Source organism: Homo sapiens, chromosome 16 (genome assembly GCF_000001405.40).
Source record: "Homo sapiens chromosome 16, GRCh38.p14 Primary Assembly".
Classification (NCBI taxonomy): domain Eukaryota; kingdom Metazoa; phylum Chordata; class Mammalia; order Primates; family Hominidae; genus Homo; species Homo sapiens.
This window is the reverse complement of record NC_000016.10, coordinates 36,034,371-36,045,868: the sequence shown is the minus strand read 5'-3', so window position 1 is coordinate 36,045,868 and position 11,498 is coordinate 36,034,371. Positions and strand designations below refer to the sequence as shown.

At 36.5% G+C, this 11,498-nt stretch overlaps 3 annotated features.

Annotated features, from left to right (window-relative positions):
* Nucleotides 318-865: an enhancer, noted in NCBI's record as "OCT4-NANOG hESC enhancer chr16:35279375-35279922 (GRCh37/hg19 assembly coordinates)". NCBI's record gives its function as "activates a minimal SCP1, AML or CMV promoter by ChIP-STARR-seq in naive H9 embryonic stem cells {active_cell/tissue: H9 hESC(naive)}" and the evidence as "EXISTENCE:reporter gene assay evidence [ECO:0000049][PMID:30033119]".
* Nucleotides 866-1,413: an enhancer, noted in NCBI's record as "OCT4-NANOG hESC enhancer chr16:35278827-35279374 (GRCh37/hg19 assembly coordinates)". NCBI's record gives its function as "activates a minimal SCP1, AML or CMV promoter by ChIP-STARR-seq in naive H9 embryonic stem cells {active_cell/tissue: H9 hESC(naive)}" and the evidence as "EXISTENCE:reporter gene assay evidence [ECO:0000049][PMID:30033119]".
* Nucleotides 5,798-6,299: an enhancer, noted in NCBI's record as "NANOG hESC enhancer chr16:35273941-35274442 (GRCh37/hg19 assembly coordinates)". NCBI's record gives its function as "activates a minimal SCP1, AML or CMV promoter by ChIP-STARR-seq in primed H9 embryonic stem cells {active_cell/tissue: H9 hESC(primed)}" and the evidence as "EXISTENCE:reporter gene assay evidence [ECO:0000049][PMID:30033119]".

The window sequence follows — 11,498 nt, the reverse complement described above, 5'->3', positions numbered from 1 at the left end:
GCAGATTCTACAAAATAGTGTTTCTAAATTGCTGAATCAAAAGATTGGTTCAACTCTGTGAGTTGAATGCACACATCACAAAGAAGTTTCGGAGAATGCTTCTGTCTAGTTTCTATGTGAAGATATTTCGTTTTTCACCATGGGCCTCAAAGCTCTCCAAATATCGAATCACAGATTCTACAAAAAGAGTGTTTCAAAACTGCTCTATCAAAAGAAAGGCCCAACTCTGTGAGTTGAATGTACACATCACAAAGAAGTTTCTTAGAATGCTTCTCTCTAGTTTTTATATGAAGATATTCCTTTTATACCATAGGCCTCCAAATGCTCCAAATATCCACTTGCAGAATCTACAAAAGGAGTGTTTCAAAACTGCTCTATCAAAAGGAAGGTTCAACTCTGTGAGTTGAGTGCACAAATCACAGAGAAATATTTGAGAATGTTTCTGTCTAGTTTTAATGTCAAGATATTTCCTTTTCCACCATAGGCATCAAAGCGCTCCAAATATCCACTTCCAGATCCTACAAAAAGAGTGTTTCAAAACTGCTCTGTCAAAAGAAAGGTTCAACTCTGTGAGTTGAATGCACACAACACAAAGAAGTTTCTGAGAATGCTTCTGTCTAGTTTTTATGTGAAGGTATTTCCTTTTCCAACATTGGCCTCAAAGGGAACAAAATATCCACTTGCAGATTCTAGAAAAAGAGTGTTTCAAAACAACTGTATCAAAAGAAAGGTTCAACTCTGTGAGTTGAATGTACACATCACAAAGAAGTTTCTGAGAATTTTTTTTTTTTTTGTGAAGATATTACCTTTTCCTCCACAGGCCCCAAAGCACTCCAAATATCCACATGCAGTTTCTACAAAAAGAGTATTTCAAAACTGCTGTATCAAAAGAAAGGTTCAACCCTATGAATTCAATATATAAATCACAAAGATATTTCTGGGAATGCTTCTGTCTAGTTTTTATGTGAAGATATTTCCTTTTCCAGCATAGGCCTTAAAGTGCTCCAAATATCTACTTGCAGATACTACAAAAAGAGTGTTTCAAAGCTGCTCTATCAAAAGAAAGGTTCAACTCTGTGAGTTGAATGCACACATCACAAAGAAGTTTCTGAGAAAGCTTCTGTCAAGTTTTTATGTGAAGATATTTCCTTTTCCAACATAGGCCACCAAGGGAACGAAATATCCTCTTGCAGATTCTACAAAAAGAGTGATTCAAATCTGCTCCATCAAAAGAAATGTTCAACTCTGTGAGTTGAATGCACACATCACAAAGAAGTTTCTGAGAATGCTTCTTTCTAGTTTTTATGTGAAGATATTTCCTTTTCCACCATAGGCCTCAAAACACTCCAAATATTCACTTGTAGATTCTACATAAAGAGTGTATCAAAACTCTTCTATCAAAAAAAAGGCTCAACTCTGTGACGTGAATGCACACATCACATAGAAGTATCTCAGAATGCTTACGTCTAGTTTTTATGTGAAGATATTTCCATTTCTATCATAGACCTCAAAGTGCTCCAATTATCCATTTGCAGATTCTACAAAAAGAGTGTTTCAAAACTGCTCTATCAAAAGAAAGGTTCAGCACAATAAGTTGAATGTCCACATCACAAAAATTTTCAGAAAATGCTTCCGTCTGGTTTTTATATTAAGGTATTTACTTTTCCATCATAGGCTTCAACGCACTCCAATTATCCACTTGCAGATTCTACAAAAGGAGCGTTTCAAAGCTGGTCTGTCAAAAGACAGGTTCAACTCTGTGAGTTGAACGCACACATCACAAAGAAGTTTTGGAGAACCCTCTGTCTAGTTTCTATGTGAAGGCATTGCCTTTTCCACCATAGGCCTCACAGCGCACCAAATATCCACCTGCAGATTCTACAAAGTGTTTCAAAACTGCTCTATCAAAAGATAGGTTCAACACAGTGAGTTGAATGCACCCATCACAAAGAAGTTTATCAGAATGCTTCTGTGTGGTTTTTAGGGGAACATATTCGATTTTACACAGTAGGCCAAACAGCGCTCCAAATATCCATTTGCACATTCTTCAAAAAGAGAGATTCCAAACTGCTCCATCAAAACATAGGTTCAATTTTGTGAGTTGAATGCACACATCAAGAGGAAGTTTCTGAGAATGCTTCTATGTAGTTTTTAATTGAACATATTTCCTTTTCCACCATAGGACACGTAGGACTCCAAATATCCACTTGCAGATCCTACAAAAAGAGAGATTCTAAACTGCTCAATCAATGGATAGGTTCAACTCTGTGATTTGAATGCACACATCGTGAAGAAGTTTCTGAAAATGATTCTGTGTAGTTTTTATTTGAAGATATTTCCTTTTCCACCATAAGGCACAAAGGGGTCCAAATATAAACTTCCAGATTGTACAAAAAGAGAGATTGTAAACCGCTCGACCAAAAGATGAGTTCAACCCTGTGAGATGAATTCCATAAATCACAAAGAAGTTTCTCAGAATATTTCTGTCTAGTTTTTTTATGAACATATTCCTTTTCTACCAAAGGCCTCAAAGCGCTCAAAGTATCCACTTGCAGATTTTACAAAAACAGTTTTTCAAAACTGCTTTATCAAAGGAAAGGTTCAGCTCTGTGAGTTGAATGCATACATCACAAATAAGTTGCCGTGAATGCTTCTGTGTAGTTTTTATTTGAAGATATTTCCTTTTCACGTTAGGGTGCATAAGGCTCCAAATATCCACTTGCAGATTATACAAAAAGAGAGATTTAAATCTACTCAAGGAGAAGATAAGTTCAACTCTGTGAGTTGAATGCACACCTCACAAAGAAGTTTCTCTGAATACTTCTGTGTACTTTTTATATGAACATATTTCATTTCCACAATAGGCCTCAAAGATTCTGTGTAGGTTTTATGTGAACATATTTGATTTTCCACAGTAGGTCTCACAGCACTCCAAATATGCAGATGCAGATTCTACAAAAAGAGAGATTCAAAACTGCTCAATCAAAAGATAGGTTCAACTCTGTGAGTTGATGGCACACATCAGGAAGACGTTTCTGATAATGCTTCTCTGTAATTTTTATTTGAAGATATAGCCTTTTCCAGCATAGGGCACAAATGGTTCCAAATATCCACTTGCAGATTCTACAAAAAGAGAGATTCCAAATGGCTCAATCAAAGATAGATTCATCTCTGTGAGTTAAATGCACACAACACAGAGAAATTTCTCGGAATGCTTCTGAGTAGTTTTCATGTGAAGATATTTCCTTTTCCACAATAGGCCTCAAATGGCTCCAATTATGCACTTGCAGATTCTACAAAAAAGAGTGTTTGAAAACTGCTGAATCAAAAGAAGTATTCAACCCTGTGAGATGAATGTACACCTCACAAAGAAGTTTCTCAGAATGCTCTGTGTAGTTTTTATGTGAAGTTATTTCCTGTTCCACTAGAAGCCACAAACGGCTCCAAATATCCACTTGCAGATTCTACAAAAAGAGTGTTTCAAAACTGCTCAATCAAAAGAAAGATTCAACTCTGTGAGATGGATGCACGCATCACAAAGAAGTTTCTCAGAATGCGTCTGTGTTGTTTTTATGTGAAGATATTTCCTTTTCTACTGTAGGCCTCAAAGCCCTCCAAATATCCACTTGCAGATTCCGCAAAAAGAGATTCAAAACTGCTCAATCAAAGATACTTTCAACTCTGTGAGTTGAAAGCACACATAACATTTCTTACAATGCTTCTATGTAGTTTTTATGTGAAGATATTTCCTTTTCCAAAATAGGCCCGAAGCTCTTCAAATATTCGCTTCCAGATTCTACAAAAAGAGTGTTTCAAAAAAGCTCAATCAAAGGAAGTGTTCAACTGTGTGTGATGAATGCACTCATCACAAAGTAGTTTCTCTGAATGCTTCTGGGAAGTTTTTATGTGAAGATATTTGATTTTCACAGTAGGTCTCAAAGCTCTCCAAAAAAACTTTTGCAGATTCTGCAAAAAGAGAGATCCAAAACAACTCAATTAGAAGATAAGTTCAAATCTGTGAGTTGAATGCACACATAAAGGAGTTTCTCACAATGCTTCTGTGTAGTTTTTATGTGAAGATATTTCCTTTTCCAATAGCCTCAAAGCCCTCCAAAAATCCAATTCCAGATTCTACAGAAAGAGTGTTTCAAAAGTGCTCAATCAAAAGAAATGTTCAACTCTGTGAGTTGAACACACACATCATGAAGAAGTTTCTCTGAATGCTTCTGCGTAGTTTTTATTTGAAAATATTTACTTTTCCACCATAGGGCAGAAAGGGCTTCAAATATTCACTTGCAGATTCTACAAAAAGAGAGATATAAAACTGCTCAATGAGAAGATAACTTCAACTCTGCAAGTCGAATGCACTCCTCACAAAGAATTTTCTCAGAATGCCTCTGAGTAGTTTTTATGTGAAGATATTTCCTTTTCCACAATAGGCTTCAAAGGGCTCCAATTATCCACTTGTAGATTCTACAAAAAGAGTGTTTCAAAACTGCTCAATCAAAAGAAAGGTTCAACTCTGTGAGATGAATGCACACATCACAAAGAAGTTTCTCAGAATGCTTCTGTGTATTTTTTATCTGAAGATATTTGCTTTCCCACGGTAGGCCTCAAAGCGCTCCAAATATCCACTTGCAGGTTCTACAAAAAAAGTGTTTCAAAACTGTTCAATCATAATATAGGTTCAACCTTGTGAGATGAATACACACTTCACAAAGAAGTTTCTCAGAATGTTTCAGTGTAGTTTTTATTTGAAGATATTTCCTTATCCACCATAGGCCCAAAAGGGCTCTAAATATCCCCTTGCACATTCTGCAAAAAGAGAGATTCAAAAATGATCAATCAAAAGAAAGGTTCAACTCTGTGAGATGAATGCACACATCAAAAAGAAGTTTCTCAAATTGCTTCTGTGTAGTTTTTATTTGAAGATATTTCCTTTTCCACCATAGGGCACAAAGGGCTCCAAATATCAACTTGCAGATTCTACAAAAAGAGAGATTCAAAACTTCTCATTCGGAAGATAAGTTCAACTCTACAAGTTGAATGCACGCCTCACAAAGAAGTTTCTCACAATGCTTCGGTGTAGGTTTTATGTGAACATGTTCGATTTTCCACAGTAGGCCTCACAGTGCTCCAAATATCCACTAGCAGATACTACAAAAAGAGAGATTCAAAACTGCTCAATCATAAGATAGGTTCAACTCCGTGGGTTGAATGCGTACATCACAAAGAAGTTTCTCTGAATGCTTCTGTGTAGTTTTTATTTGAAGATATTTCCTTTTCCACCATAGGGCGCAAAGGGCTCCAAATATCCACTTGCAGATTCTACAAAAAGAGATATTCTAAACTGCTCAAAGAAAACATAGGCTCAACTCTGTGAGTTGAATGCACACATCACAAGGATGTTTCTAAGAATGCTTCTGAGTAGTTTTTATGTGAAGGTATTTCCTTTTCCACAATAGGCCTCAAAGGGCTCCAATTATCCACTTGCAGATTCTACAAAAAGGATATTTCGAAACTGCTCAATCTAAAGAAAAGTTCAACTCTGTGAGATGAAGGCACACATCACAAAGGAGTTTCTCAGAATGCTTCTGTGTAGTTTTTATGTGAAGATATTTCCTTTTACACAATAGGTCTCGATGGGCTCAAGATATCCACTTGCAGATCTACAAAGAGAGTGTTTCAAAACTGCTCAATGAAAAGAGAAGTTCAACTCTGTGAGATGAATGCACACATCCCAAAAAGTTTCTCAGAATGCTTCTGTGTAGTTTTTATGTGAAGGTATTTTCTTTCCACAGTAGTCCTCAAAGTGCTCCAAATATCCACCCTCAGATTCTGCAAAAAGAGAGATTCAAAACTGCTCAACTGAATGATAGGTTCAACTCTGTGAGTTGAATGCATACATCACAAAGAAGTTTATCTGAATGCTTCTGTGTAGTTTTTATTTGAAGATAGTTCCCTTTCCACCATAGGTTGCAAATGGCTCCAAATATCCACTTGCAGATTCTACAAAAAGAGAAATTCAAAGCTGTTCAGTGAGAAGATAAGTTCAACACTGTGAGTTCAATGCACACCTCACAAAGTAGTTTCTCTGAATGATTCGGTGTAGTTTTTATGTGAAGATATTTCCTTTTCCACAATAGGCCTCAAAGCTCTCCAAGCATCCACTTGCAGATTCTGCAAAAAGAGGGATTCAAAAATGCTCAATCCAAAGACAGGTTCAACTCGGTGAGTTGAATGCACACATCACAAAAAGTTTCTCAGAATGCTTCTGTGTAGCTTTTATGTGAACATATTTGATTTTCCACTGTAGGCCTCACAGTGCTCCAAATATCCACTGGCAGATTCTACAAAAAGAGAGATTCAAATCTGCACAATCAAAAGATAGCTTAAACTCTGTGAGTTGAATGCACACATCACGAAGAAGATTCTGAGAATGCTTCTGTGTAGATTTTATTTAAAGATATTTTCTTTTCCACAATAGGCCTCACAGGGCTCCAAATATCCTCTTGCAGATTCTACTAAGAGAGAGATTCTAAACTGCTCAAACAAAAGATAGGTTCAACTCTGTGAGTTGAATGGACACATCAGAAAGAAGTTTCTCCGAATGCTTCCGAGTAGTTTTTAAGTGAAGATATGTCCTTTTCCACAACAGGCCTCAAAGGGCTCCAATTACCAATTGCGGATTCTACAAAAAGAGTGTTTCAAAACTACTCAATCTAAAGAAAGTTTCAACTCTGCTAGATGAATGCACACATCAAAAAGAAGTTTCTCACAATGCTTCTGTGTAGTTTTTATGTGAAGATATTTCCTTTTCCATAATAGGCTGCAAAGTGCTCCAAATATCCATTTCAGATTCTACAAAAAGAGTGTTACAATATTGCTCAATCAATAGAAAGGTTCACCTCTGTGTGATGAATGTACACATCACAAAGAAGTTTCTCAGAATGCTTCTGGGTAGTTTTCGTATGAAGATATTTGCTTTTAAACAATAGGCCTCAAAGGGCTCCAAATATCCACTTGCAGCTACTACAAAAAGAGTGTTTCAAAACTGCTCAAACAAAAGAAATGTTCAACTCTGTGAGATGAATGCGCACATCACAAAGAAGTTTCTCAGAATGCTTCTGAGTAGTTTTAATCTGAAGATATTTGCTTTTCCACTGCAGGCCTCAAAGCGCTCCAAATATCAACTTGCAGATTCTACAAAAAGAGAGTTTCAAAACTGCTCAATCACAAGATATGTTCAACCACGTAAGATGAATGCAAACATCACAAAAAATTTTCCCAGAATGTTTCTGTTTAGTTTTTATTTGAAGATATTTCCTTTTCCACCATAGACAACAAAGGGCTCCAAATATCCACTTGCAGATACTTCAAAAAGAGAGATTCAAAACTGCTTAATCAAAAGATAGGTTCAACTCTGTGAGGTGAACACACACATCCCAAAGAAGTTTCTCATAATGATTCAGTGTACTTTTTATGTGAAGATATTTGCTTTTACTCAGTAGACCTCAAAGGGCTCCAAATATCCACCTGCATATTCTGCAAAAGGAGAGACTCTAAACTGCTCAATCAAAAGATAGGTTCAATTGTGTGATCTGAATGCACACATCCCAAAGAAGTTTCTCTGAATGCTACTGTGTCGTTTTTATTTGAAGATATATCCTTTTCCACCACAGGGCGCAAAGGGCTCCAAATATCCACTTGCAGATTCTTCAAAAAGAGAGACTCAAAACTGCTCAATGAGAAGATAAGTTCAACTATGGGTGTTAAATGCACACTTCACAAAGGAGTTTCTCAGAATGTTTCTATGCAGTCTTTATGTGAAGATATTTGCTTTTCCACAATAGGCCTGAAAGTTCTCCAAACATCCACTTGCAGATTCTGCAAAAAGAGGATTCCAAACTGCTCAATAAAAAGAAAGGTTCAACTCTGTGAGTTGAATGCACACATCAGAAAGAAGTTTCTCAGAATGCTTCTGTGTAGTTTTTATGTGAACATATTTGATTTTCCAAAGTAAGCTTTACAGCGCCACAATATCCACTTGCAGAATTTACAAAAAGAGAAATTCAAAACTGCTCAATCAAAAGATAGGTTGAACTCTGTGAGTTGAATGCACACATCACAATGAAGTTTCTGAGAATGCTTCTGTGTAGTTTTTATTTGAAGATATTTTCCTTTCAACTATAGGGCAAAAAGGGCTCCAAATATCCCCTTGCAGATTATGTAAAAACAGTGTTTCAAAACTGCTAAATCAAAAGAAAGGTCCAACTCTGTGAGATGAATGCACGCATCAAAAATAAGTTTCTCAGAATGCTTCTGTGTAGTTTTTATCTGAAGATATTTGCTTTTCTACGGTAGGCCTCAAAGCGCTCCAAATATCCACTTGCAGATTCTACAAAAAGTGTATTTCAAAACCGATCAATCATAAGATAAGTTCAACCCTGTGAGATTAATGCACACATCACAAAGAAGTTTCTCAAAATGCTTCTGTGTGGTTTTTAGGTAAAGTTATTTGCTTTTCCACAGTAGGCCTCACAGGGCTCCAAATATCCACCTGCAGATTCTGCAAAAAGAGAGACTCAAACTTGCTCAATCAAAAGATAGGTTCAACTCTGTGAGTTGAATGCATACATCAGAAAGAAGTTTCTCTGAATGCTTCTGTGTAGTATTTATTTAAAGATATTTCCTTTTCCACCATTGGGTGAAAAGGGCTGCAAATATCCACTTGCAGATTCTACAAAGAGAGAGATTCAAAACTGTTCAATGAGAAGATAAATTCAAATCTGTGTGTTGGATGCACACCTCACAAAGGAGTTTCTCAGAATGCTTCTGTGTAGTTTTTACTTGAAGATATTTCCTTTTCCACAATAGGGCACAAAGGGCTCCAAATATCCACTTGCAGAGTCTACAAAAACAGATATTCTAAACTGCTCAATCAAAAGAAGCTTCAACTTTGGGAGTTGAATGCACACATCACAAAGAAGTTTCTCAGAATCTTTCTGAATAGTTTTTATGTGAAGATATTTCCTTTTCTGCAATAGGCCTCAAAGGGCTCCAATTATCCAATTGCAGATTTTACAAAAAAAGGGTTACAAAACTGCTCAATCATAAGATATGTTCAACCCTGTGAGATGAGTGTACAAATCTAAATAAGGTTCTCAGAATATTTCAGTGTAGTTTTTATTTGAAGATATTTCCTCTTCCACCTTAGGCCACAAAGGGCTACAAATATCCACTTACAGATTCTGCAAAAAGAGAGATTCAAACTGTTCAATCAAAAGACAGGTTCAACTCTGTGAGTTGAATGCACACATCAGAAAGTAGTTTCTCAGAATGCTTCTGTATAGTTTTTATGTGAAAATATTTGCTTTTCCACAGTAGGCCTCAAAGGGTTCCAAATATCCACCTGCAGATTCTGCAAAAGGAGAGATTCCAAACTGCTCAATCAAAAGATAGCTTCAACTCTGTGAGTTGAATGCATACATCACAGAGAAGTTTCTCTGAATGTCTCTGTGTAGTTTTTATTTGAAGATACTTCCCTTTCCATTAAAATGTGCAAAGGGTTCTAAATATCCACTTGCAGATTCTACAAAAAGAGAGTATCAAAACTGCTCAATCAAAAGAAAGGTTCAACTCTGTGAGATGAATGCACACATCCCAAAGAAGTTTCTGAGAATGCTTCTGCATAGTTTTTATAAGAAGGTATTTGCTATTCCACATTAGTCCTCCAAGGACTCCAAATATCCACCTGCAGACTCTGCAAATAGAGAGATTCAAAACTGCTCAATGAAAATATAAGTTCAACTCTGAGACTTAAATGCACACATCACAAAGAAGTTTCTCAGAATGCGTCTGTGTAGCTTTTATGTGAACATATTCGATTTTCAACAGTAGGCCTCACAGCGCTCCAAATATCCACTTGCAGATTTTACAAAAAGAGAGATTTGAAACTCTTCAACCAAAAGATAAGTTCAACTCTGTGAATTGAATGCACACATTATGAAGAAGTTTCTGAGAATGCTTCTGTGTTGTTTTTATTTGAAGATATTTCCTTTTCCATCATAGAACCCAAAGGGCTCCAAATATCCACTTGCAGATTCTACAAAAAGAGAGATTCAAAACTGCTCAATCAAAAGATAGGTTCAACTCTGTGTATTGAATGCACACATCCCAAAGAAGTTTCTCACAATGCTTCTGAGTAGTTTTTATGTGAAGATATTTCCTTTTCCACAATATGCCTCAAAGGGATCCAAATATCCACTTGCAATTTTTCCAAAAAGAGTGTTTCAAAACTGCTCAAAGAAAAGAAAGGTTCAACACTGTGAGACGAATGCACACATGACAAAGAAGTTTCTCAGAATGCTTCTGTGTAGTTTTTATGTGAAGATATTTCCTTTTCCCAATAGGCCTCAAAGGGATCCAAATATCCACTTGCAGATTCTACAAAAAGAGAGATTCAAAACTGCCCAATCAAAAGATAGGTTCAACTCTGTGATTTCAATGCACACATCACAAAGAAGTTTCTCAGAATTGCTTCTTTATAGTTTTTATGTGAAGATATTTGCTTTTCCACGGTAGGCCTCAAAGAGCTCCAAATATCCACTTGCAGATTCTACAAAAGAGTGTTTCAAAACTGCTCAATCATAAGGTAGGTTCAACCCTGTGAGATGAATGCACACATCCCTAAGAAGTTTCTCAGAATGTTTCTGTGTAGTTTTTATCTGAAGATATTTCATTTTTCACAATAGGCCACAAAGGGCTCCAAATATCCCCTTGCAGATTCTGTAAAAACAGTGTTTCAAAACTGCTAAATCAAAAGAAAGGTCCAACTCTGTGAGATGAATGCACGCATCAAAAATAAGTTTCTCAGAATGCTTCTGTGTAGCTTCTATTTTAATATATTTGCTTTTCCATGGTAGGCCCCAAGGTGCTCCAAACATCCACCTGCAGATCCTGCAAAAAGAGAGATTAAAAATTGCTCAATCAAAATATAGGTTCAACTCTGTTAGATGAATGCCGACATCACAAAGAAGTTTCTGAGAATGCTTCTGTGTATTATTTATCTGAAGATATTTGCCTTTCCACATTGGGACTCAAGGTGCTCCAAATATCCACCTGCAGATTCTGCAAAAAGAGTTTTTCCAAATTTCTCAATGATAAGATACCTTCAAAACTGTGAAATGAATGCAGTCATCACAAAGTAGTTTCTCAGAATCTTCCTGTGTAGTTTTTATGTGAAGATATTTCCTTTTCCACCATTGGGTGAAAAGGGCTCCAAATATCCACTTGCAGATTCTGCAAAAGAGAGATTGAAAACTGCTCAATCAAAAGATAGGTTCATCTCTGAGAGTTGAAGGCACACAACCCAAAGAAGTTTCTCAGAATGCTTCTGTGCAGTTTTTATGTGAAGATATTTGGTTTTCCACAGTAGGTCTCTAAGGGCTCCAAATATCCAACTGCAGATTCTGCAAAAAGAGAAATTCGAAACTTAT